General features: G+C 40.8%; 1 protein-coding gene across 3 annotated transcripts in view, besides 8 other annotated features; it reads left to right on the top strand.

Annotated features, from left to right (window-relative positions):
• Positions 1,038-2,002: an enhancer, noted in NCBI's record as "NANOG-H3K27ac-H3K4me1 hESC enhancer chr1:36107068-36108032 (GRCh37/hg19 assembly coordinates)". NCBI's record gives its function as "activates a minimal SCP1, AML or CMV promoter by ChIP-STARR-seq in primed H9 embryonic stem cells {active_cell/tissue: H9 hESC(primed)}" and the evidence as "EXISTENCE:reporter gene assay evidence [ECO:0000049][PMID:30033119]".
• Positions 1,038-2,968: a biological region, named in NCBI's record as "NANOG-H3K27ac-H3K4me1 hESC enhancers GRCh37_chr1:36106102-36107067 and GRCh37_chr1:36107068-36108032".
• Positions 1,755-2,214: an enhancer, noted in NCBI's record as "active region_736". NCBI's record gives its function as "activates an Ori minimal core promoter by ATAC-STARR-seq in GM12878 lymphoblastoid cells {active_cell/tissue: GM12878}" and the evidence as "EXISTENCE:reporter gene assay evidence [ECO:0000049][PMID:35858748]".
• PSMB2 (proteasome 20S subunit beta 2) overlaps positions 1,943-26,777 on the top strand; it is a 41,986-nt gene continuing 17,151 nt past the window's right edge. The window contains exons 1-3 of one of the 3 annotated variants that reach the window (NM_001199779.2): positions 1,943-2,052; positions 7,037-7,159; positions 12,125-12,195. In NM_001199779.2, the coding sequence (NP_001186708.1) occupies positions 2,037-2,052; positions 7,037-7,159; positions 12,125-12,195 (210 nt within the window). In that variant the 5' untranslated portion in view covers positions 1,943-2,036. Of the gene's footprint in view, positions 2,128-7,036; positions 7,160-11,931; positions 12,034-12,124; positions 12,196-26,777 lie in introns of those variants that run through there. The other 2 variants (NM_002794.5, NM_001199780.2) reach the window with 2 other exon arrangements.
• Positions 2,003-2,968: an enhancer, noted in NCBI's record as "NANOG-H3K27ac-H3K4me1 hESC enhancer chr1:36106102-36107067 (GRCh37/hg19 assembly coordinates)". NCBI's record gives its function as "activates a minimal SCP1, AML or CMV promoter by ChIP-STARR-seq in primed H9 embryonic stem cells {active_cell/tissue: H9 hESC(primed)}" and the evidence as "EXISTENCE:reporter gene assay evidence [ECO:0000049][PMID:30033119]".
• Positions 12,055-12,255: a silencer, noted in NCBI's record as "peak173 fragment used in MPRA reporter construct". NCBI's record gives its function as "represses an SCP1 promoter by STARR-seq MPRAs in K562 erythroleukemia cells {active_cell/tissue: K562}" and the evidence as "EXISTENCE:reporter gene assay evidence [ECO:0000049][PMID:32103011]".
• Positions 20,151-20,784: an enhancer, noted in NCBI's record as "NANOG hESC enhancer chr1:36088286-36088919 (GRCh37/hg19 assembly coordinates)". NCBI's record gives its function as "activates a minimal SCP1, AML or CMV promoter by ChIP-STARR-seq in naive H9 embryonic stem cells {active_cell/tissue: H9 hESC(naive)}" and the evidence as "EXISTENCE:reporter gene assay evidence [ECO:0000049][PMID:30033119]".
• Positions 20,151-20,941: a biological region, named in NCBI's record as "Sharpr-MPRA regulatory region 1763".
• Positions 20,647-20,941: a silencer, noted in NCBI's record as "tiled region #1763; K562 Repressive non-DNase unmatched - State 17:Gen3'". NCBI's record gives its function as "represses a minimal TATA promoter and a strong SV40 promoter by Sharpr-MPRA in K562 cells {active_cell/tissue: K562}" and the evidence as "EXISTENCE:reporter gene assay evidence [ECO:0000049][PMID:27701403]".

The raw sequence follows: 26,777 nt of genomic DNA, 5'->3' as shown, positions 1-26,777 counted from the left end.
TAAGTTGGTCCTCTTTTGTGTTGTAGTGCTGCAACACTAAATATCTCTCTCTCTTTTTTTTTTTTTTTTGAGAGAGAGTCTTGCTCTGTTGCCCAGGCTGGAGTGTAATGGTGTGATCTTGGCTCACTGCAACCTCTGCCTCCCGGGTTCAAGCGATTCTCTTGCCTTGGCCTCCCCAGTAGCTGGGATTACAGGTGCCGCACCACCACGCCCAGCTAATTTTGGTATTTTTAGTAGAGACGGGGTTTCATCATGTTGGCCAGGCTGGTCTCGAACTCCTGAACTCGTGATCCGCTCGTCTTGGCCTCCCAAAGTGCTAGGATTACTGGCGTGAGCCACTGCCCCTGGCAACACTGAGTATCTCGGTACACAAATATTTGGACTGTGTGTCCAAACATTTCTTTTGGACATATTCAAAAGGTTATGCATATTTAACAGATATTAAAATTGTTCTCTATAAAAAGGTTGTACAACTTAGAACCTTACCCCCAATTTATACTTTCTCATTGTTTCTTATTTCCCATTTTCCTAATTACCATCAAGGTTGAGGATCTTTTCATGTTTATTGGCCATTCGTGTTGCTTCTTTTGTGAATTGTTTTTCTTAGTCTTTGGTCTTTTTTTATTTTTTATTTTTTTTTTTGAGATGGAGTCTCTCTGTTGCACAGGCTGGAGTGGAGGGGCGCTATCTCGGCTCACTGCAATCTCCGCCTCCTAGGTTCAAGCAATTCTCCTGCTTCAGCCTCCGGAGTAGTACAGGCGCCTGCCACCACGCCCAACTAATTTTTTGTATTTTTAGTAGGGACGGGGTTTCACCATATTGGCCAGGCTGTTCTCGAACTCCCGACCTCTTGATCCGCCCCCGTGCCCTGCCGGGTCTTTTAAAAATGGTATTGTCTCACCCGGCTCCCCTCCCATTGGTTTGTAGGAATATCTTTTAAGTTATAGATATTAACTTTTTCCTTTCTTCTGTCTATAAGGTCCAAAATAGTAACTATTTCTACAATTGAAACATTCCCAATTTACATTTACTGTTGAGCATGATAATGACTTTCACCACATAGAGACGTGTAATTTTAGGTAGTCAAATCTGTCAAGTCTTTTCTCATATTGCTTCTGGGTTCCCTGTCAAGCTTAGAAACACATCTCTTCCAAAAATTACAGAAATATTTTTCTACTTTTTCTTCCATGTTTGTATCTCTCTCCCTCTCTTTTTTTTTTTTTTTTTTTTTTTTTTTTTTTTTTTTTTTTTTTTGAGACGGAGTTTCGCTTTTGTTGCCCAGGCTGGAGTGCTCACCGCAACCTCCGCCTCCAGGGATCAAGCGATTCTCTGTCTCAGCCTCCAGAGTAGCTGGGATTACAGGCATGCGCCACCACGCCCAGCTAATTTTGTATTTTTAGTAGAGACGGGGTTTCTCCATATTGGTCAGGCTGGTCTCGAACTCCCAAGCTCAGGTGATCCGCCTGCCTTGGCCTCCCAAAGTGCTGGGATTACAGGCGTGAGCCACTGCGCCCGGCCATGCTTATATCTTTAATCCAACCATATACTATTTTTGTGAAGGATGGAAGTAAGGCTCCCCTCAAGTTAATTTTTCTCCAATCTGGCTTGCAGGAAAGGGGTTTCTGGGGAGATTTTACCGAGCAACGTAGGGAAACGGCTGCCTGGCTACCTACCCCTTTTTGACACCCACACGTGCTCGGCACCTTACATACACTGCGTGATTTTATCCTAAAGCCACTTTTAAAATCTTAGTGTGTAAACAGAGAAACTGGGCGTCACATAAGGCAAGTGACCTGCACAGCCTGCTCCGGAGGAGACCCGTACGATCCCAGAGACAAGCACTGAACATAAGGCACCCGGCGCCGCGCCCGCTTTGCAACCTCTCGCGACAGTTGTACGTCATCCGAGAGCGCCGTGGAAGTCGTGCTGCAGGCGTCGCGCCAATCTTCGCTCTGAGGTGCTGTCTCACCGGTGAGACCTGGAAGCGGGCGAGTCTCGTGCTGTGTCGGACCTGCAGCCCCTGGCCTTCCGCCACCATGGAGTACCTCATCGGTATCCAAGGCCCCGACTATGTTCTTGTCGCCTCCGACCGGGTGGCCGCCAGCAATATTGTCCAGATGAAGGACGGTGAGAGGAAGCAGGGGAGGCCCGGCCAGGCCTGGGGTGTAGGAGCGGCCAGAAGGAGTTTGTCGGGGGTTGAATAAGTACCAGGGAGGATCTGAGAGATGGAAGCCGGCCTGCCCTGCCCGTACTTATTTTATTTATTTATTTATTTTTTCGAGAGGGGTTTCGCTCTTGTTGTCCAGGCCGGAGTGCAATGGCGCGATCTCGGCTTAGCACAGTCTTTGTCTCCCGGGTTCAAGCGATTCTCGTGCCTCAGCCTCCCGAGTAGCTGGGAACAGATATGCGCCACCACGCCTGGCTAATTTTTGTATTATTAGTAGAGATGTGGATTTCTCCATATTGGTCAGGCTGGTCTCGAACTCCCGACCTCAGGAGATCCGCCCGTCTCGGCCTTCCAAAGTGCTGGGATTACAGGCGAAACAGGCAGACAGGTCTGGGACCTTGGCATTTGCTCCTCCAGGGCTCCTGGGTCAGTGCTCTGCTCTGGCCTTCGCTAAATGCTTCTTGCTTGGTGAGAGTTGCCTAAAGGGAATCAGTTTATAAATGTTTAAGCGCCTGCCCAGAGCCTGGCTCTCTAGATCCCCGAATCTCTGATAAGTTTCCTGGTGTCGCTAGTAATGAGGTTAGTTTGTTGGCGGCATAAGGTGGGATCCTGAGGAGAGTGAGACTGTGGGACTGGCTCTCTAGATCCCCGAATCTCTGATAAGTTTCCTGGTGTCGCTAGTAATGAGGTTAGTTTGTTGGCGGCATAAGGTGGGATCCTGGGGAGAGTGAGACTGTGGGACCAGAAGCTTGGCATTTTCCTTCTTCCCGTGGCTCCCGATTCTTCTTTTCCAGTTTTCCAGAGCAATGGCTGCCAGGTTTTCCTTATATTTAAGTAGTTAATGGAGTTAAGAGATTGGAGCCCTGTCATTTATTTGCCTTATGAGTTTGTATAAGTTATTTTGCAGTGCCCAGATTTCCTCATCTTTAAGATTAGCAATACCAAACTCACAAACTTGTCGGGAGGATTTAGTAAATGAGTTATGTGCAAATCCTTAGCACTAGGCAGGTACTTAATAATACTAAGTGTACGTAGGTGCCCAAACATATTTGTCAAATGACCATTAAGTCATCTGAACCAAAGCTTAATACTTTTTCAACAGTAGCACGTCTTTGATCAGTTAAGGAAAACAAACTTAGATTCTGCAGAAAAACAACCAAAATCTTCTTAAAATTATGTATTGAGTAATTTAGTATAGATAGTATAGTATAGTATAGTATAGTATAGTATAGTATAGTATATTATAGTACTTAGGGGCAAAATGTCTGGACTCACTGCATAGGTTGAACCCAGGTTCTGCCACTTGTGACCTTAAGCAAATTTCTCTAACTCCGTGCCCTAGAGCTAACATCTATAAGGTGGTAATGTAATAGCACCTATCTCAAAAGGTTAATGAATTAATGTAAATCACTTAACATAGCACCTTATACTTTATGAAATTCTATGATTAGTTTGTAGAAGTTTTGTTTGTAAGCCAGTCCTTCCAAAGGAGTGAATTTGTTTTGAGAGTAAATTTGTCCATTATTTTGAATACTAAGGTCTTTGACAAGCAAGTGATTTTAACATTAAGTCATGTCTAGGTAGAACAATAATCATTATCTTTACAGGTCTTTTGTTTCATCCCAAATGTATGTGAAATCACATTGAAAAGTAGAATGTGCTTTAAGCCTACTTATGTACACAGTACTTTTAGTCATTATAGGGGATGCAGTATATTACTTATAACCCATAGAAGAGTCCAAGACATTAAGAAAACAAGGAAATAAATGCTGCAAGATGATTTTATATAATAAAAGAAGTATTACTAGTTAGTAGTAGGTTGGTTTTTAAATTAATGAGTTCAAGAGCAAATCCTAAGAGTAATAAAAGAAAGATAACTATGGTATGGGAGAAAGATGAATTTGAGTTAGTTCTTGAAAAATAATTGGAAATAGTTGCACTCTGCACATTCCAATTTTCCCTATAGTCTTTTCTGGTATAAAACAAATTATAATAGAAATTTTAGTATTGTATGATGACTTTTTTATTTATTTTATTTATTTATTTTTGAGACAGAGTCTCGCTCTGTCACCCAGGCTGGAGTGCAATGGCGCGATCTCGGCTCACTGCAACCTCCACCTCCTGGGTTCAAGCGATTCTCCTGCCTCGGCCTTCCAAGTAGCTGGGATTACAGGCGCCCGTCACCATGCCCAGCTAATTTTTGTATTTTTAGTAGAAACGGGGTTTCACCAGTTTGGCCAGGCTGGTCTCAAACTCCTGACCTCAGGTGATCCACCTGCCTCCGCCTCCCAAAGTGCTGGGATTACAGGCGTGAGCCACCGTGCCCAGCCGTCTGATGACTTTTTTCTAATCATTCATTTCACGATGGAGCTTGTTTAGAGTAGGCAAGAATGCTGAAAAAATAGTAACCTTCTGGGACTCCTTTCTCCAAGTATAAAATGATAATACAACTTCCAATCAATTGTCCAGTATGTCACTTTGTAAAAACATTTTGATACTATAGAGTAGACATTTGCTGAGGATTGCCACCTTATTAAGTGGTATAACTTTTGGTTTGCTTATATGCCGCATTTCATGTCTCTTTTCTCTTGGCCTATGTAGAATTGCTTTTAAGTTACTCGGAGTACTCCAGCCCACACAGAATTCTCTCTTTTCTGAATTCCTATAGCATGTATAATCCGAACTACATTATCTAACACTGAGTATCATAATATTGGACATGTATAGAATTCATTAGTTTTTCTCACTTGTGAGTTAGACAGGGGTAAGTCATATTATTAACATTTCACACATTTGGAAATAACATTTCACACATCTGGAAACTGGGGCTTAGAGAGGACAAGTAATTTGCCGAAGTTCAGAGTGCCAAGTCCACATCATAACCAAGGTCTCTTGGATTCTAGTTCAGTTGGTTTTCCACAGTATGACATGCTAATGTTGTTCATTTTGTTGGCCATTTGTTTCATGTATGTGGATCTCGTAAGTTCCTCGTCAAGAATCAGAAATTCCCCAGAGCTACACAGGCAGTTTCCTGTACAACTCAGGGGTCTCTAAGTATCTATCTCTTGTGTTTTTATTAAATATGTTGCCCTCTGCTACTCATTGGACATATTCAGTGTTTAAAAAACATTTTTGGCCTTGTATTAAGCTAATTTTAAAGTTGAACAGGTTACTGCCTAGGATTTTAGCCTTTCTTCTAAGTGTGACATAAGTTCTTTGTAAACAAGCTCCCCCTTCAAATAAAAATATCTTTTTTCTTATTATAAAAATAATGCGAACTTATTGAATAATGCTTTCTTATAAAAGTGAGGCATGTTAAGTATAGAAGTTTTAGGAAAAACCAACAAGCAAAAGAAGGAAACGAAAACTGCCCATACTCTTACCACTGGCAAGCACTTAGAATATACCCTTCTGCTCCTTTTTCTTTGCATAGATAATATAAGTGAATGTTTTTCGTTTATTAACAAGTTTGCAAACTAACAATCTTTAAATCTAGCCTGCATAACAAATAAAAGTGTGTTTGTTTAGGAGTTTTGAGGCAATTTGATATTATCTACAGGTGCATTTTGTGTGTTTTTTCCCTCCAAGTCTAAGAAGCCATATTACTGGTATCTACAACTCTGAAACACTTGTAAAGTATTTGACAGTAGCATTTTGTTCTTTAAATCCTATTAAAGGATTTTGGCATTTCAGAAGCTTTCAAACAGGAAACGTGTCTCCCAGGGAGGATTATTCAGCACTATTTGAAAAATGAAAAGTGAAAGTGAAAGTGAGATAGGAAGATTTAGGCCTTTTCTGAAGCTGCAGACTGAATGTGGAGTTTTCTTCCTTAGGCAATAACTGTAACCTGAATATTTATTTATCTGTCTAATCTGAATGACTCTGGTTCAGCTAGATAAGATTAGAGTATTAGGATTTTTGTGAGGTATTTTAAATAGCTTACTGTCAAAATATTCACTAGAATTTTTGCTTTGGCAATCATTTTAATTTTCTCTTTTTCTTTGGAAGTGGAATTTGTTTACTTTTTAAAGTGATTAATATTCTCAGTTGATTTTCTATTCTTTCTTGAAATGGTTCCTTAATTTTAATTATAGCACCAGTCCTTTTCATATATGCTTTTGTATGTGTATAAATATAATAACTAACATTTGTAGTTGTGGAAACATTTTAGGGCTTTGTTATCATGAGCCTAAAGATAATCGCCATTGGCTGGATTCCTTCAGTTTCTTCTGTCGTTCTGTTCCTTGCATTTCAAATGCCTTTAAATGCTTTAAATTGTATTTTCAATTGGTAGCTTTCATGTATATTCTCCAACCGAAATTGGCATTACACAATATGCTGATGGTTTAACATGAAGAGTGAAAGAGAAAAATTGATACCATTACCTATTAAAATCTTCTAAAAGCAATAATTAGTTAAATTATTCAATATACAGTCGTCCCTTGGTATCTGTAGGGATTGGTTCCAGAACCCCTGCAGATACCCAAATCCATAGATGCTTAAAGTCCATTATATACATGGTATAGTATTTGCATATTACCTATGCAGGTACTCCTGTGTACTTCAAATCATCTCTAGATTATTTATAATACTTAATATGACATAAGTGCTATGTAAATAGTTGTTATACCATATTGTTTAGGGAATAATGACCAGAAAAAAAGTCAGTACATGTTCAGGATAGATGCAAGCATCCATTTTTTTTTTTTTCTGAATAATTTTGATCCATAGTTTGTTGAATTGTGGATTCAGAATCCATGTATATGGAAGGCCAACTGTAGTAATTAATAAACCTGTTTATGGTTACATAAATAATGACGGTCAATGTCTGTTAAGGCAGTTTCTAACACAGTTTTCTTCTTTGAGCAGATCATGACAAGATGTTTAAGATGAGTGAAAAGATATTACTCCTGTGTGTTGGAGAGGCTGGAGACACTGTACAGTTTGCAGAATATATTCAGAAAAACGTGCAACTTTATAAGATGCGAAATGGTGGGTAAGACTTACAGTTTTAGTTGGCATATGAGTTTACTAGGGCTGCCATTACTAAAGTCACAGACTGGGTGGCTTAAACAACAGAAATGTATTTTCTCACAGTTCTAGATGTTAGAAGTCAAAGATTAAGGTGTTGGCAGCGTTGATTTCTGAGGCCTCTCTCCTTGGCTTGCAGATAGCCATCTTCTCCCTGTGTCTTCACGTGATTTTTCTCTTTGTACTATATCCAAATTTTCTCTTCTAAGAATACCAGTCATGTTGAATTAGGAACTCATTTTAATTTAATAACCTCTTAAGGATCCCTTCTCCAAATACAGTCACATACTAAAGTACTAGGGATTAAGACTTCAACATATGAATTTTTGGTGGACAAAATTCAGCCTATAACAATTGGTTTGTCTTTAAATTTGAACTGAAAAATAATATTCTTTAAGACTTATGTGGTCATATTTTCTTTTTTTTTTTTTTTTTTTTTTTTGAGACGGAGTCTCGCTCTGTTGCCCAGGCTGGAGTGCAATGGCGCGATCTCTGCTTACTGCAACCTCCGCCTCCCAGGTTCAAGCGATTCTCCTGTCTCAGCCTCCTGAGTAGCTGGGACTACAGGCACGCACCACCACGTCCAGCTAATTTTTGTATTTTTAGTAGAGACAGGGTTTCACCACGTTGACCAGGATGGTCTCCATCTCTTGACCTTGTGATCTGCCCACCTCGGCCTCCCAAAGTGCTGGGATTACAGGCGTGAGCCACCACGCCCAGCCCATATTTTCATTAGAGTTTTCTGTGTTTAAGAAGTTGTCTAGACCCTAAAGATTCTAATCCTTCATAAAAGATTTTCTACAAAAATCCTAGAGCAGAGAACTGTTGTAACACTGATAGCTGATAGATAAAACTAACACCATCGGCCTGGTATGATGGCTCATGCCTGTAATCCCAGCAATTGGGGAGGACAAGGTGGGAGGATCACTTGAGACCAGGAGTTTAAGACTAGCCTGAGCAATGTAGTGACACCTCATCTCTACAAAAAAAAAAAAAATTTTTTTTTTTTTTGAGATGGAGTTTCACTCTTGTTGTCCAGGCTGGAGTGCAGTGGCACAATCTCGGCTCACCGCAACCTCTGCCTTCCAGGTTCAAGCAATCCTCCTGCCTCAGCCTCCCAAGTAGCTGGGATTACAGGCATGTGCCACCACGCCTGGCTAATTTTGTATTTTTAGTAGAGACAGGGTTTCTCCATGTTGGTCAGGCTGGTCTCAAACTCATGACCTCAGATGATCTGCCCACCTCGGCCTCCCAAAGTTCTGGGATTACAGGTGTGAGCCACCACGCCCGGCCTTCTACAAAAAAGTTTTTAAAAATTAGCTGAGTGTGGTGGCATGCACCTATAGCCCTAGCTACTCAGGAGGCTGAGGCAGGAAGATCGTTTGAGCCCAGGAGGTCGAGGCTGCAGTGAGTTATGATTGTGCCACTGTACTCTGGAAGGCAGCAAGACTCTGTCTCTAAAAAAAATTTTTTTAAACCAACCAAAAAAAAAAAAACCCAACACCATCTTGGAGGTAGGGATGGTAGTATCAGACTTTTTAAGTGTTAGATATCTCAGAGGATGTGGTTTGAGTTTAAAAGTATCTGAACCTGGCCAGGCACAGTGGCTAGCACCTGTAATCCCAGCACTTTTGAGAGGCTGAGATGGGAGGATCACTTGAGGTCAGGAGTTTGAAACCAGCCTAGGCAACAAAGCAAGACCCTGGCTCTATAAAAAATAAAAATATTTACCTGGGTGCAGTGGTGCACACCCATAGTCCCAGCTACTCAGGAAGCTGAAGTGGGAAGATCACTTGAGCCCAGGAGTTCAAGGTCTCAGTGAGCCATGATAGTGCCACTGCACTCCAGCCTGTGCGACAGAGTGAGACCCTGTCTCAAAACAAAGAAACAAAAAAATCTGAATCTCAGCGTCAAAAAACCTAAGTAAACCTTGGCTTTACTATTTTTTATGTGATAAGTCATTTATCTTCTCTGGGACTTTATTTTCCTTATCTCTGAAATGAATTATAATACTAATGAATAATACATATGAAAATATTTTGTAAACCTAAAGCATTGTGTAACTAACTATAAGTATTTACTGTGCCATAAAAGGGTTCTGCCTTACTCTCTGGTAGGTTTCCTTCTAGAGAGATAATTAAGACTTTTGTGAAGTATTTTGTGAGCTCTCTCTGGGGCTAATGAACTCTTATCCACTGGGAAAACCTCCCTAGCAAACGATACTAGCCACTAGGCCTCTGATCCAGGAATGTTTGTAGTGGTGGTCTGGCAGAGAAAACCTTATTTCCACTTACCTCACAGTTCAATAACAACGTTATACACTGCACTGGTATAATATGGAGCTATGAAGGAAGTTAATTTGAATATACTTGCATGTGTAAAATGACCAAAGATCTATTCACATAGTTTGGGCAGTGGATTTAGCATTTGTATTCAATTCCATAAATACTTTTGAGGGCCTCTTCTATGGTAAGCATTCTGCTTAATACTTAAGAGAATTCAAAGATGAATAAGGCTTAGTCCTGACATTCAGGAACATAAAGTACATGGTACTTAGGTTTATGCAGGTTTAGAATATTTCAAGAATTCTGCTTTTTTTTCCAGTGGTTCCACTTTTTGCCTGCATAACAAATGAAGTATGTCAGTAATGCTTCTGAAGTCCAGTAGGTACTGTATGACTTCACTGGCTGTCCTGAGAGAGGGAGAAGAGTGAACAAGAGTAGCAAGAGTTGTTTGTTACTGGGTTTTAGGGTCTAAAGTCAGTGCACAGACAAAAACTGTGTTTGGTTAAAATTGCCCTTAAAGACCCTTAAATTACCTGCCAAGTACAGTTTTGTGTATGTAACTCTATATAGTAATTCTTATATAAGTTAAAGAACTGAGCTAAAATAAGGGAAAGAAAGAGAAAATCTATATGCAGATAATCAGGCATGACTTTTCTGCCTTTAGGATAATGGTCAGATCTTCAGTGGTGTTTAGGGGGTTAAGTAAAGAATTGAATAGTATTCCCACTTGTCTAGGTTCCTTCTTTTTTTTTTTTTTTCTTTTTTGAGTCAGGGTCTCGTTCTGTTGCTCAGATTGGAGTGCAGTGGTGCAGTCTCAGCCCACTGCAACTTCCAGCTCCTGGGTGCAAGTGATTCTCGTGCCTCAGCCTCCTGAGTAGTTGGGATTATAGGCATGCACCGCCATGCCTGGCTAATTTTTTGTATTTTAAGTAGAGACAGAGTTTCGCTATGGTGGCCAGGCTGGTCTTAAACTCCTGTCCCCAGGTGATCCACCCACCTGGGCCTCCCAAAGTGTTCTGGGATTACAGGTGTGAGCCACTGTGCCTGGCCTCTTTTTTTAAATTATTATTATTATTTTTGTTGTTGTTGTTGAGACAGGGTCTCACTCCTGTCGCCTGGGCTGGAGTGCAGTGGCACAATCATGGCTCATTGCAGCCTCGAATTCCCAGGCTCAGGTGATCCTTCCACCTCAGCCTCCCAACTACCTGGGAAAACAGGTGTGCACCACCACCCCTGGCTAATTTTTATATTTTTAGTAGAGACGGGGTTTCATCATGTTGCCCAGAATGGTCTTAAACTCCTGGGCTCGAGTGATCTGCCTGCCTCCGCTTCCCAAAGTGCTGTGATTACAGGCATGAGCCACTGCACCTGGCCAAGGATTGCTTTCATTATGATTTAATATGCACTAATAGACTTGTGAGGATAAAGTACAATAATACATGTGAAAACACTCAGCATAGACCCTGAAACATAGTTGCTGCTCAATAAATATTTGTTAGGATTTGAATCTGAATCTCTCCTAATTTGACAGTGGTATTTGAAATGTTGTAAGCAATTACTTAACCACACTGCTGTGTGTCTTTCCATACTGACATTTTCTGTGTGGGCCCACTGAGTTATGGATCATTCTTGTGCCTTTTGGCACTGGTCCCATTCTACAGGGGGATTAAGCTCCAAAGTGAATGCGTTATTACATGCACACCTGATGCTATTCCTCTGGGTTGTACCTTTGTTGGTATGACAACTTTTATTTTTGAAGTTTTAACACTTGAGATACTCTATTTTTAAAAATACTGCAGAATGATGGAAATGTTCTTTTTCTGTGGCTTATACTTTTGAAAGTCATATTATACTTCTTAATAAAGTAACATTTAAAATATTTTTTTAATAAACTATGACTCTGAGGTAGTCCTAACTTCTAGCCTCTCTTTTCCCAATATCCTTTTTGTTCCTGTTTTCGTTTTTTTAGAGACAGGGTCTTGCTCTGTCACCCATGCTGTAGTGCAGTGGCACAGTCATAACTCACTTGAACTTCTGGGGTCAATTGATCCTCTCCACTCAGCCTCCTAAGTAGCTGGGATTACAGGCATGTACCACCATGCCTAGAAATTTAAAAAAAAATTTTTTTTAGAGATGGGGGTCTCACTATGTTGCCCAGGCTAGTCTCAAACTCCTGGGCTCAAGCGATCTTCCCACCTTGGCTTCCCAAAGCTCTAGGATTACAGGCATGAGCCACTGTGACTGGCCCCCAATATCCTTTTTAAAATAAACTTTTAAAAGATTGGCATCTAAGACGCCTTTCTTTTTTTTTCACTTCTTGTGTATTCGTGTTCCTTTCCTTCTACGGCAGAAACCACAGTGTGTTGATGAATGAATAGTTTAAGCAAGGCTGCTAGAAGTTTCATTCCACTATAGAACTGGTTCTGTTTGTGGCCAAGAATTGCTGTCAGTACTAACCAGCTATTTCATAGCTGTTGCATGAGGAAAGGGACTAGAGTAGGATTGTACCCCTCAGTCTATGCTTTGTTTACTCTGAGTGTACAAAAGATGGTGGGCTTTAGGAACAGGGGTAGTGAATAATTTGGGGCACTGTTATTCCTTCTGCTTTACTTTAAGTATGACTCTTTATCTCTTCTACCAGGATATGAATTGTCTCCCACGGCAGCAGCTAACTTCACACGCCGAAACCTGGCTGACTGTCTTCGGAGTCGGGTAAGTAATATATCAGACATTGTTAGATAGAGCAGAAAAATCCTTTGTGCTTCTTTTATATTCTCATTATACATGAGTAGTATTTTTGCCCTTTTTTGGCCTTCCAGAACCCCTCCTGTTGCTACTTGTTCATTCTTAAGTCCAATGTCTTTGTGCACAGTTGTTATTAATAGGTACAGCCCAAAGGGCAAATATTCATTCCCAGAGAATTGGTTGGGACACACCAATATGAAGGCCTGTGACAACTTACCCTTTTTTTTTCCCCCTAAAAACTATTTTTTAGAGCAGTGTTAGGTTCACAGCAAAATTGAGAAGAAGTATAAAGATTTCCCACATTCCTCCTCACCCACATGTATAGCATTCCCCATTATCAGCATCTTCCACCAGGGTGATACATTGTCACAAATGATGAGCCTATATTGACAGTAATCACCCAGGTCCATAGTTTACATTAGGGTTTACTTTTGCTGTTGTGGATGTTATGGGTTTGGACAAATGTATAATGACATGTATCTACCATTACAGGATACAGAGTATTTTCACTGCCCTAAAAATCCTTTGTACTCTACTTATTCATCCTTCTCCATCCCCACAACTCCTGACAACCACTCATCTTTTTACTTTCTCCATGGTTTTGCCTTTCCCATCATGTCATATAGTTGGAATCATGGATTATGCAGCCTTTTCAGATTGGCTTCTTTTATTTGGTAATACACGTTTAAGGTTACCCTATGTCTTTTCATGGCTTGATAGCTCATTTCTTTTTAACATTGAAAAATACTCCATTGTCTAGATATACTACAGGTTATTTATCCATTCACCTACTGAAGGACATCTTGGTTGCTTCCAAGTTTTGGCAATATGAATAAAGCTAATGTATACATCCATGTGCAGGTTTTTGTTTGAACATAAGTTTTTTTTTGCGTAAATACCAAGGAGTGTGATTGCTGGATCATATAGTAAGAGTACGTTTAGTTTTTTCAAAGTGTTTTTGTAACAAACCATATTACTTAATACCTGTGACTGAAAGTCTCTATGTGTTAGTGAAAGTAGAACTTTGAAAATAATAATTCAGATTATTTTTATTTTTATTTTTTTGAGATGGAGTTTCACTCTTGTTGCCCAAACTAGAGTGCAATGGTGCAATCTTGGCTTACTGGAACCTCTGCCTCCTGGGTTCAAGTGATTCTCCTGCCTCCATTTCCCAAGTAGCTGGGATTACAGGCATGCACCACCACGCCCAGCTAATTTTGTATTTTTAGCAGACACGGGGTTTCTCCATGTTGGTCAGGTGTCAGGCTGGTCTCGAACTCCTGATCTCAGGTGATCTGCCCGCCTTGGCCTCCCAAAGTGCTGGGATTACAGGCGCGAGCCACCGCACCTGGCCGGTAATGTGGATTTTTATCTCGAGATTGCTTATCTGTGTTTCTCTTTTTTTCTTTTTCTTTTTTCTTTTTTTTTTTGAGACGGGGTCTCACTCCAGTTGCCCAGGCTGGAGTGTAGTGGTGTGATCTCAGCTTACTGAAGCCTCAACTTCCCGGGTTCAGGTGATTCTCCCACCTCAGCCTCCCAAGTAGCTGGGACTACAGGTGTGCACCACCACATCTGGCTAATTTTTTGTATTTTTAGTGGAGGCAGGATTTCACCATGTGGCCCAGGCTGGTCTTGAACTCCTGGACTCAAGCAATCTGCTGGCCTTGGCCTTTCAGGGTGCTGGGATTATAGGAATGAGCCACTCACTGTACCTGGCGTACTTACCTGTGTTTTTCTATGACTTTTTCCCAAAGCATACAGCATTGTTCCTCCTTACTTATTCTAGCCTTGTTGCTATTCTAGAGCTGTCTCCATTTCATCGACAGCATGTTAAAAGATGCAACACTAAGTTAAGGATTGAATGCATTAAAGATTGTGTAGGATGTGCTAGGAAAGTTCATATGGTTGCTAAAGGTGTGTGTTATTCCCTTCCCACAGGGACTAAATAAATAGAGCCTTACCACGTGATCTCACCCCCTGTGCCTGTTTACTTATCTATGAAATGGAGATAACTTCCTAACCCCACAGGGGTGCCAGGAAAATGAATGCTTGTAAATCATAATATTTAACATTCATGTGACTTTTGCCCAAAGCATTTTGCTTAATAATTTAATCTACTCACTATTCCACTGAGAAAGATAGTCTCTATCACTGAGATGAAGTGAAAGGCATAAAGTGTCAAAGGGACTAGCTCCAGGTCACACAGCAGGTCAGACAAAGCTAAAATAATGGTGCCATAATTATTTGACTATTCTGCCTTTGGTTCTTCAGTAGTGTTTCTAGAACACTGATGCTATTCATATTTTTATTATGGTTTGAGTTTTCATCTGTACTTGCTTAAAATAACAAGTTACTTTTTTTAAAGTTACTTACTACAGATCTATAAAGCAGTTTATTTTCTAGTGCCTAATAATCTTTGACTGATAATTTCTCAATAAATAGTACCTCTCAGTGCTAGCTTTGACCAAGGGCTTGTACAATCTGAGGGATCATGAAGTTTGAAGAGAAGCTAGAGACATGTAGGATTGAGAGGAGGAGGCAAATTTACATACATTGTTTTGTCCTGGGTGAAAGATCAGTAGTCTTTTCTTTAAAAAAAAAAAAAAAAATATATATATATATATATATATATATATATATATATTTTTTTTTTTTTTTTTTTCTTCCAAGAAAGTCATTGTCACCAAGTGGTCTTTTCTTCACTCCTCCTTGAGAAAGGAAAATGGGTCAGATATTAGTTTTTCTGTCACCCAGAAGTTCCTGTGGTGTTCAGCATTTTATGACTTGCCATGTACGATGTTCCTCTGACTTATCAGGCAGAACCGGAGTAAGAATTCCAGCTTTGGGCACAATAAATACTGTGTCATAAATATCACAGACATTAAGTGAATTAAGCTCCTTTTTGGAATTGAGATAAGAATGGCAGTGTGCTTCATGCAAATGCAGTGAATCTGGTTTAATCTTCTCCTAGCAGAAATGTTTGATGTCTTAACAAATATCCCTTGTAGACAGTGACATGGGGCTCTGGTAAATATTGACTACCTCTGCCTGAGCTTTTCCAGTAGGTCCAATCTCTGCTCCCCCATCTCCTTATCAAAATAGATTCTTAGTTCTAAAATATGAATTTATATTTTAGTCGTCTTATTCTGGGAAGAGAGATGATAGTTTGTCAGTGTTCCTAATAAGTGCAAAGTCACCAAATTTAGTATATTTATATGGTCACACCAGTTGGCAGATGTGACTCATTTTGGGTCAGCCAGTTACCATGTATAACTTCTGTGTCTGTAGCTCAAATTGTTTGATTTCTAATTTGCTCTGTGTATGTGTGGTGGTTTGGTTGGGAGGACATTTACTACCACTGAGTATATAATGAATCTTACATAAACTGGTTCATTAAAATGTAGGCAATTTAGCATTGTGGTTAAGAGCATAGTCTCTGGAATTGGACTACCTGGGTTTGAATATTTGCTTACTGACTTACTAGCTGGATGTCTTTGGACAAATTCTAAGCTTAATTTCCCTACTTACCAATTTCAAAAAGTTATTATGAAGATTAAATAAGGTAATAATGCAAAGCTCTTACTTTTTTTTTGAGACAGGATCTCACTCTGTCATCTAGGCTGGAGTGCAGTGGTATGACCACAGCTCTCTGCAGCCCCTTGACCTTTCAGGCCCAGATGATCCTTCCACCTCAGCCTCCCTGGCAGCTGGGACTGTAGGTGCATACCACTATGCCTGGCTAATTTTTTGTAGAGATGGGGTTTCTCCATGTTGCCAGGCTGGTCCCGAACTCCTGGGCTCAAGCAATCCTCCCGCTTCTGCTTCCCAAAGTGCTAGGATTACAGGCATGAGCCACCATGCCCAGCCCACTTGTGTTTTTATGCTGCGATTGCTGTTTGGTCAAAGAAGCAATTTAATGGCTATAAGTTAGTTTTTCGTGAGGGATCATTTGTTGTGCTTTTTTTTTTTTTTTTTTTTTTTTGAGATAGGGTCTCGCTCTGTCACCTAAGAGGTGGCACAGTCACAGCTCACTGCAGCCTCAACCTCCCGGGCTCAAACAATACTCCCACTTCAGCCTCCCAAATAGCTGGAACTACAGGCGCCAAGCCACCATGCTGGTATTGATAGGGAAAATAGAAGTAAAATAACATTGAACATATATTATGTGCTAGGATTTTTCTAGATCTACACAGTCCAGTATGGTAGCCAACTAGCCACATGGGGCTATTTAAATTTAAGTTAATTAAAATTAAATAAAACTTAAAATTCAGTTTCTGGTGGAAAATCTCCTGGTAGACTTTGCCTGAATGCTAAATCAACTTTTGTTCTTAAAAAAAAAAATTCTGTTCCTCAGTCACAGCCACATTTCAGGTACCCAATAGCCACAACTATTGTATTAGACATCACAGATCTGGAACATATCCATCATCATAGAAGTTCTCTTGGACAGTGCTATTCTAAATACTTACATATGTATCTGTTATTAAGTATCCTTATTATGACACCATAAGATGTGTGTTATCCCCATTTTACTTACAAGGATGTTAAGTATTTCTCTTAGATATGTTTCCAAAGCACATATATACTATGTTAAAGGTTAAGATTCCAGCTTCAAATATCAAACTCTTTCATGGTGTCTTCTTTATTAATTAGTGGACTAATGTACAAGTGTATTTGTGCATTTAGGGAAACATGAAATGTTCAGTTTTGTTAAAATGTCGAAATTGCACATAGTATTATATAGATAAGTTTGAATATATGTCCATTGTAGGTTTTCAATAAGTGTTTGCTGAAAAAGTGTCATCCAGCTAGGTCTATATATTCTGCTGAGAATATTAATTATGCATTTATACACTGGAAGGGAATTCTTAATGAATGGAATACCGGAAGAAGTATTCTTAATAAATGGATGTTAATTTGTATAGGAATTAAAGGCATGAAATCATCAGAAGACGAAAAAAGACAGATGGGGAAAAAATTCAGAAGCCTTCAGTTTAGTTGTTTATTTAAATGCTTGTATACATTTAAGATGGTCTCTTCTTGTTGGTTAGACCCCAAAGAGCAGAAAAAGGGCTTATACTATGCTCAAGGCTTGCTTTCTTCGGCCAGGCACAGTGGCTCATGCCGGTAATCCTAGCACTTTGGGAGGCCAAGATGGACAGATCAGTTGAGCCCAGGAGTTCAAGACCAGCCTGGCCAACATGGTGAAACCCCATCTCTACTAAAAATACAAAAAATTAGCCAGATGTGGTGGCACACACCTGTAATCCCAGTTACTCAGGAGGCTGACGCAGGAGAATAGCTTGAACCCAGAAGGTGGAGGTTGCAGTGAGCTGAGATCATGCCACTGCACTCCAGCCTGGGTGACAGAGCAAGACTCTGTCTAAAAAAAAGGCTTCCTTTCTCAAATTCTCCTTACAGTTTGACTAATGTCAGAGGATGATGAGTTATGGGGCTATTTCTTTTCTTTTTTTTTTTTGAGACGGAGTCTCACTGTGTCACCCAGGCTGGAGTGCAGGGGCACGATCTCGGCTCACTGCAAGCTCCACCTCCCGGGTTCATGCCATTCTCCTGCCTCAGCCTCCTGAGTAGCTGGGACTACAGGCGCCCGTCACCATGCCTGGCTACTTTTTTGTATTTTTAGTAGAGACGGGGTTTCACCATGTTGACCAGGATGGTCTCGATCTCTTGACCTCGTGGTCCACCCGCCTTGGCCTCCCAAAGTGCTAGGATTACAGGCATGAGCCACCATGCCCAGCCTATTTCTTACTTAAAATGAATTATGTGGCATATTTGATGTAGCCCATCTGAATGCCCTAAAATTATCTCCATTTAACAGATAGAGAGACAGGTATAAACCAGGCAAATCTGGTGTCCTTGGGAACGTGAAATTTTGTGGCAAGGCTTAGAGTAGGATGCTGGCCTCCATGATGTGTAATCGTCGGGTTTCACTGCCACACTGGCCAAAGAGTTTTCATTAGAACTTTTTCCGAAGTGTTTCATGAGCCTTTGGTAATTTATCTTTTTACCTATTTATTTGTAAATGCTTAGCAAGTAAACAGTAGAAATAATAAGTTGAAAAGATATCCAGCCTGATGTAGTGGTTTTCAAACTTTATTCTGTGAAGCTGCTTCAGGATACTCACCAAGGAAGACCAGTGTGCAATGCTTTTTTTTTTTTGAGGTGGAGTTTCGCTCTGTCACCCAGGCTGGAGTGCAGTGGCATGATCTCAGCACACTGCAACCTCCACCTTCCAGTTTCAAGTGATTCTTCTTCCTCAGCCTCCCGAATAGCTGGGACTACAGGCGTGCACCACCATGCCTGGCTAATTTGTGTATTTTTAGTAGAGACGGGGTTTCATCGTGTTAGCCAGGATGGTCTCGATCTCCTGACCTCGTGATCCACCCGCCTCGGCCTCCCAAAGTGCTGGGATTACAGGCGTGAGCCACCGTGCCTGGCGTTTTTTTGTTTTTGTTTTTGTTTTTTTTGAGACAGAGTCTTGCTCTCTCACCCAGTCTGGAATGCAGTGGTGTAATCTCGGCTCACTGCAACCTCTGCCTCCTGGGTTTGAGCAATTCTCCTGCATCAGCCTCCTGAGTAGCTGGGATTACAGGCATGCATCACCATGCCTGGCTAATTTTTGTATTTTTCATAGAGACGGGGTTTCACCATGTTGGCCAGGCTGGTCTCCAACTCCTGACCTCAAGTGATCTGCCCACCTCAGCCTCCCAAAGTACTGGGATTACAGGCATGAGCCACTGCACCCAGCCAAGTGTTCAGCACTTTAGCTCTGCTTCATATAGCTCAACTCAGCTTTTATCTATTTGATAGATAGGAATTCTAGGTAAAGTTTTATTTGAAAAGGTGCCATCACTGTTCCCTTACCACCAAAGAGCCCTGCAATAGGAGGGTTAATACTAGCTCTGCTGTGAGTTAGTTGAAAACCTTGGGAGAAAGCAAGCATTTGATTGGATGGTTTTTAGGGTTTGTTCCAGCCCCCAAATAGCATGATTTAAAAATCTTATGTCAAGACCACAACCAGACTTGAATTTTTATTTATTTATTTATTTTTTTAGGGAATGGGAAAGAATATGTAGGAAAGGATTTCAGGTCTTAGTCATTTCCAGCAGTGACCAAAGCTTATCCCCACACTCTGGCCTTAATTCAAGGCTGTTTGGTCTGGTTAGTAGTAGGCATGTATAGCATGCTCCTGTCCTAGAAGAAACCTGTTGCTTTGAGCCTTCTATTCTGACCATGAGAATTATTCTTCTCATGCCTTAGGTGGCTGGCACAAAGGCATCATCTGTTTATTGGTATCAGTGAGGTCCTGTGAACAGATGGCCCAGGTGAAACCCTGACTTTGCAAGTCTTGTCCCTTATACACTACCAACCATTTGTTACATGTGATTGAAATATCACTAACAAGGGTAATTTCACATGATTTTTGGCAAACGTGGTTAGCAGGATGTGACATGACGCAGCACTGCCTTCTTCCTCCATGTGCCATCTCCCTTGAGGCCTCATCTTCTCTACTTGCCCCCGTCTCACCCATGCCGAGGCTTGCCTTCAGCTCACCTGCTCCAGATGGGCAGCACAGTGGGAGGACACTGGCAAAGGCAGATGTGTTTATTTTCCGGAGACAAAATGTTGTGCTGCTGCAGATGGCAGTGCCTTGGAGCAAGAGGCAGCCTTTGACACTGCTGCCACACAGCCTGGGCATCTTGACAGACAGAGCCAGCTTACTTTTGGTGATGCGGAAATTCAAAAATAAAAAACGAAAACCAAGATGTTCATTATGCAGCTCTTGGACTGTCAGTGCAAGCAGCAGCCCTTTTAGACCTGGGGAGCAGTTTTCTTCCCTACCAAACCTTAGTCAGCTAGTGAGCTAACTGTGGATTGTCACTGTAGGCCAAGAGTTACGTGTCTGTTCATTACTTTTGTCTCCCAGCCTTAACAGGACATAAAGTAAAAACTGGAAACAAATGGCTACATTTAGATGGATACTCAGTTTGGTTCTGCAAAACATATGTGTATCCCAGGTCCCATCTCACAGGAGTCTCTTAGGATTGGGGGTGGCTCATGTTGGCCCCATTGGAGATACCGCTGTTCTGTTTTTAGTGGTCATTTTGATTATCCAAAGACCCAGAGACAGATGTGCCTTGAAGTTGAGGTGTCTCAATTAATATGACAACACTTTGTGCTTATAGTGTTTTTCTACTAGGAGGAGTAAGCATTCTGACAGCTGCCCTTTTAAGCAGTATGCGTATGCATTAGTTAAAGCTTGACTAAGTCCATTAGGAAGACAAAGACTGGCTGTTGAATCATTACACTTACTAGGATCCTAAAAAAAATAACTTGGGAAGATTATTTGAAAGTTACTGGCTTTATCAGGAAATTTTTTTTTCTTTTTCTTTCTTTTTTTTTTTTTTTAAATGTGCTGTTTTTCCTAGCCCTAGCTAGTTAGGAGTTTGCAGGTGTAAAGTCCTCCCCCTCCCCTTCCCTGTCTCTCTCCAGGGGGTTGTATGTGAGAAGGTGTTGCTTTCTCACTCAGAGAGCATATATGTGCTACCCTGTTGGATGCCTGCTGCGAGCCCAGAGAACCCCCGTGCTCATTGAATGGAATAAGCCTATTGGATGGCTGGAATTTTGCAGCCCCATAATGCCAACTTTTCACTTAAAGCATCTTTCCTATCCACAATGGGAGTGAAGCAGTATATGTACTTGGTCTAGATTTATATTGTTTTAAAACTCGTGTCTTAAAAATTTTGTGATTTCCTATTAAGGTTTGGTTTAAGCCTAAGGCAGGATAGTGCTGTGTCTGCTTAGTAGGAATGTGCTTTTACTTTTAAAATGTTTACTATTAGAAGTGCAGATTTACCCCCAACTTTTAAGATTGCTTTAAATCACTTGCCCCAGTCTGGGTAGGCATAGGTGTGGGCATGCCCTCCCACATACTCACAGATACAAACACACACAATATCCTGGCATCTTGGTGCCTCTTTTTACCTGCCCTGGCCCAAGATCATGTAGGAATATGAATTTAGGGGCTGATCTCAACAACCTCATGAGGTTTTCTTTACTCTCTCCCAAAAAACAGTTACCTAAAATGAAGGGCAGTGGGAAGGCTTTTCACAAGGGGAAAGGTGGATTTTTCTATTTCTTGACCTGAGAGGTTGTTACGTGTATATTTACTATGTTCATTCGCTATACCATGTATATTTTATGCTTTTTTTTTTCTTCTTTTTGAGACATAGTCTCGCTCTGTCGCCCAGGCTGGAGTGCAGTGGTGCTGTCTAGGCTCACTGCATCCTCTGCCTCCTGGGTTCAGGCAATTCTCCTGCCTCAGCCTCCCGAGTAGCTGGGCCTACAGGCACATGCCACCATACCTAGCTAATTTTTGTATTTTTAGTAGAGATGGGGTTTCACTGTGTTGGCCAGGCTCCCGACCTTGTGATGCATCTGCCTTGGCCTCCCAAAGTGCTGGGATTACAGGCATGAGCCACTACGCTTGGCCTATTTTATGCATTTTTATGTGTATGAGTTATTTCATAAAAAGCTATAAGAAAATGAAAAGGAAGACTAAAAGGGTGGGAAAACATATTACTTTTTAACCTAAAAATGAAAAAAAAAGGGCCAGATTTACCATTACTTTTGAATGTAGACAACAGAGCAAATAGGATTAACTGATTGGAAAGAAGAAAGGAGATAATAGTCTCTGAGTCTTTGTAAACTGAAATGATCCAGCAGAATTCTACACTTCCTTTTCTGACGCTTCCTGATGGATGTGGTTTCTTACAGCCAGGATGTTCCATACCTGCTGATATTCATTCAGCCAGTCTCCAGCCTGCATTGTCCTTGGGGCTGAGGAAACAAAGGTGCACACCTCAATGTGGGCCTTCAGATGGAGAAATGGAGGAGTAAACAGTCAATTGCACTGCAGAGTGACAAGTGCTAAGATAGCCATATACACAGGGTACTCTGGGAGCACAGAGCCTAACCTGAGCCTCAAAGGACTTGCTGTCATGAATGCAAAGATGAAACAAAAGGGCAAACTGAAAGCACAGACCAAGGTGTTTGAGAGTATGTTAGGTTAGGCACAGTGATTTGTTAACAGTAGTCAAGGCAGGGATAAATACTTCTCTGGGCCTCCTCATAAGTTCATCTGTTGTGGGATACTGTGTACAAAATAGGGCTCTACTGATTAAAAACAAATATAAATATATATATTTATTTATTTATTTTATACTACATACATAAAATCGATAATCTAAAGTCAGCCGGGCACAGTGGCTCACACCTGTAATCCCAGCACTTTGGGAGGCCAAGGCAGGTGGATCACCTGAGGCCAGGAGTTCGAGACCAGCCTGGCCAACATGGTGAAACCCCCGTCTCTGCTAAAAATACAAAAATTAGCTGGGCATGGTGACAGGTGTCTGTAGTCCTAGGTACTCGGGAGGCCAAGGCAGGAGAATCGCTTGAACCCAGGAGGCAGAGGGGTTTTTTTGTTTTTTTTTTGAGACAGTCTTGCCTTGTCGCCCAGGCTGGAGTGCAGTGGCGCAGTCTTGGCTCACTGCAAGCTCTGCCTCCCGGGTTCACGCCATTCTCCTGCCTCAGCCTCCTGAGTAGCTGGGACTACAGGCACCCGAGGAGGCAGAGGTTTTAATGAGCCAAGATTGTGCCACTGCACTCCAGCCTGGGTGACAGAGCGAGACTCTGTCTCTAAATAAATAAATAAATACAAGCAGTGGGCCTCTCTGGAAGCCTGTTGGCTAAGAGGGTGTTAGCATGATCAGATGAGATTGGTAAGATCATTAGCTCGTTGGCTGTTCTTTGATGGAGCATTTGGGGAAAGAATGAAGGAAGCGGGGAGACCAATGAGGGGCCTGCATGTCAGTTAAAGCCGTAGCAATAACTTTTGTTGGATCTGGGGTGCTAATGGGGAACATGGTTCTAATAGAAGGGCTCCTAAATAGTCTTTTCCTCAGAATTTCCTTAATACTCTATGGATATCTGAAAACATATACCATCATATATAGTCCTAACTACTCTTTTCTAGAAGACCATCTTATTTATTAGCTCAGAGAGATGAATCAGCTTTGATGTTCAGAATTCATAGATTAGATATTCATGGGCATGCTTAGCATGCACAACTTAATATATGCCTTGTAGTGTGCAAGCGTGTAGCAAAGCATGGTTTCTGCATTTGAGATTTTTAAAAACTGACTTAACGGTATATGGAATCTTAAATTTTCCTAGAATCTGCCAGCTCATGAAAAAAAAAGAATTCAAGTGTCCTTGTTGCAAACATGGTGTTGGTTTTATCATTGCACAATCAGCAATTTTATTTTGACGTTATTTGGGGGGAAGCAGTATTTTTGATTAGCAAGTAAAATTAATGTAGAAAACAAATACTGTGTTAACTATTTGGTATAATAAGGCATCTGTGCCATGTTGCATTTCAACTCATTAAATTTCTAAACTTCTAATTACGATAAGTTACAACTGTAATAGGAAAACCAATCAAACTTGGAGTCATTGATAGCTTTAGAGAAGTAAAATTTATAGTAACTTTGGAATTACTGAGGAGACCTTTAAAATCTAATTTAGTTAAAAATTGAAATATACACAATATTTAAATTTTTTTGGTTGTAAAATTCACATTTATTGGGCACCTACTACTTAGCAAGTCTTCTTCCAGGAACTTTAACACGAGTGAGCACTTGAATTCCTCACAGCTCTGTCAAGCAAGCAGTACTGTCCTCCACATTACAGATGGGGCACTCAAGACTCCAAGTGGCCTATCTCAAGTAACACAACTGTAAGGTGATAAAGCCACATTCGATTTTCATTGCTTTGTCACAGAAGTACATGCCTATCTTATATGACTTATGGCATTTAAAAGCAGAGTTTATCCAAGTAGTAATTTAAAGGATGTTTTTCTTTTAAAGTTTAAAATATTGGTTGTAAATGCAGCAACATTCCTGAGCTTAAGTTCAAGAACTCAACCGTTATATGAGTTTTTACCAGTGTATTAAGCAAAAACATTTGAACATGAGCTAATTGTTATTAAAGGAAAACAAAGACAATTTTTATATTTTTATTTTGGATCTGCCAGCATCAAACAGGTATACCAAATATACTTTCGGAGAATGACCTAAGGCAAGGAAAAGAAAAAGGAAAAAATTGTTTAGACAGTCTCATTTTCAGAGCAGTGTTTCTTTTATTTTGTCTTGGTCCTCTGGAAGTGAAAGGTTTGCTTTGTTTGAGGCACACTTGCCTCCTTATTTCCCAGTATAGTATGAGAATTTATAAACGTGGGCCAGTTTGTTTTTTAGTGCTACAAAAAATAAATGCATTTGGAACAGGAAAGAACAAGAAAGTCAGGTGTTTAACTTTTTGTTTGTGAAGCTCATTATAGTATTCTGATTTTGATCAGTTTACATTTGTACTTTTTTTCCGTCACAAGATTAAGAGAAAATTGTTTTCAACTTCCAATTCCATACCTTCTCCACTCTGAGTGGCAACTGTAGATAACAGGACCCTAACCGGCCCTGGGTTCTCTCTCGCACCTCTGCTTTTGTCATTCCAGCACTTTGCTAGTCTTCCCCCTTGAATGCACCAACATCCTAACGTGGCTCGCTCTTCAGTTCCAGTTAAACTCAGCGTTTATCAGGGAAGTTTTTTCTGTATTTGCTCCCCCACCCCCCACCACATATGTCACCCTCAATTTCTTATGGCAACTTAGGTATACCTTTGCCATAGTGTCCCGTTGTAATCATTTTCTTTACTTTCTTCCATGTGCGAGTGTGAGACTGTATGTGTTCATATGAATGAAACTCTTCACTGGCTGGCTCTTCATTCAGTCTCATGACCTGGGTTATACACTATTTTCTCTTCCCATCTGTCTTTGGACAACTGTGCTTAAGCTCATTAGGTCCAAATTGAGCTCTTTTCAGTTGGACTGCCACTGTCCCCCTTATTGAGAGTCCTCACTCTTCTTTCTCCCTCACCTCTTCTACTGTTATGAAGTTCCATCATTTCTACCTTCTAAATATATCTCATATTTCATACCTCTCTCTCCGCCCCCTCTACTTTTTCCTTAGTTTGGTCCTCATCGTCTGTCTAGAGTAGACTATTGTAGATCCTCTAACCATCCGCCCTTCCTCTCAGTCCTAATCCCGGTCTATCTTTCATGTAACTGTCAATTACCATCCTAAAATGGCAATCTGTTTTGTATTTCCTTTCTAAAAGTCTTCTATTTAAGAGAAGCAGGGAAAATGGCTGGGACATCAGGGTTCCTTGGCACCAATTAACCAATGTGCTATGTCATGAAAAAAGGCTTGGATCAGCAGAGGGATGGAAGTGGCAAATGTTCACTGGTTGCTGTATGGTTTACATACTAATGTAAATATTCTTTAGGAGGCCAGTGACAGTGTCATCCCAGTTTCTCTCCCTACTTCCTGCTGAAGTCACCTAATTCTCCAGGTGTATGTGTCCCATGTTCACCAGTATCCAGACATTCCATATTCCTCTGTTTCTTTGTCTTCACGTATACTGTTTCCTCTATCTGGAGTCCTTCCTATCCACATCTACCTTATGAGTGCCTTCCAGATCCAGACTCCCATCTTCATCATGTCGCATGATGCTTCTCATACAATAAATGCTAAATAAACATTTATTGAACTTATTCACATTCCAAATGTGGAAATGAAGTTAGTTGGGACATCTGCCCATTTAATAATTATTCTATGTTGTAGTCCCAGGGAACTCATGGAATTTGGTTGAAGGCTTTTATAAACTGTGTATTTTTTACTTAAAGCTAAAAGAGATTGAATCTACACATGGGTTTCCTTAAAAAGGAATATAGCCAAGAGGATTAAAGTCAGGGTACAAGGCCGGGCATGATGGGTCATGCCGGTAATCCCAGCACTTTGGGAGGCCGAGGTAGATGGATCACTTGAGGTCAGGAGTTCGAGACCAGCCAGGCCAACACGGTGAAACCCTGTCTCTACTAAAAATACAAAATTAGCCTGGCGTGGTGGCGTGCGCCTGTTATACCAGCTACTCCAGAGGCTGAGGCAGGAAAACCACTTGAACCCGGGAGGTGGAGGTTGCAGTGAGCCGAGATCATGCCACTGTACTCTAGCCTGGGCAACAGAACAAAACTCTGTCTCAAAAAAAAAGTCAGGGTATAAATGATTCCATATTGCTTAGGTAGTTCTCTACCCGCTTCCCCATCCATAGAACCATAGTCTTTTAGAGCTAGGAAAGGTACTAGGTCACAATAATTGGAAGTTGCTGAAATCTTTGAGATTTTTTTAGGTGTTTGAAATAGTGGATTCCAATTCACATATGAAGTCCTTCTTTAATTAAAATAGCAAAATTGAAATTGAGATTTTAAAATTATACCACCAAACCCACCCAAAAAAGATAGCTAGTGAATTTTTTTAGTTATGGCAAACAAAGTCCAGAGTTCAGAACATTAGTGTAAGAAAATAACAATTGATTCATTTTATTTATTAGTGAAATTGAAAAATTGGGGATTGGCA

This window comes from Homo sapiens, chromosome 1, assembly GCF_000001405.40.
Source record: "Homo sapiens chromosome 1, GRCh38.p14 Primary Assembly".
NCBI lineage: Eukaryota > Metazoa > Chordata > Mammalia > Primates > Hominidae > Homo > Homo sapiens.
This window is presented reverse-complemented; position numbering and strand designations above follow the sequence as displayed.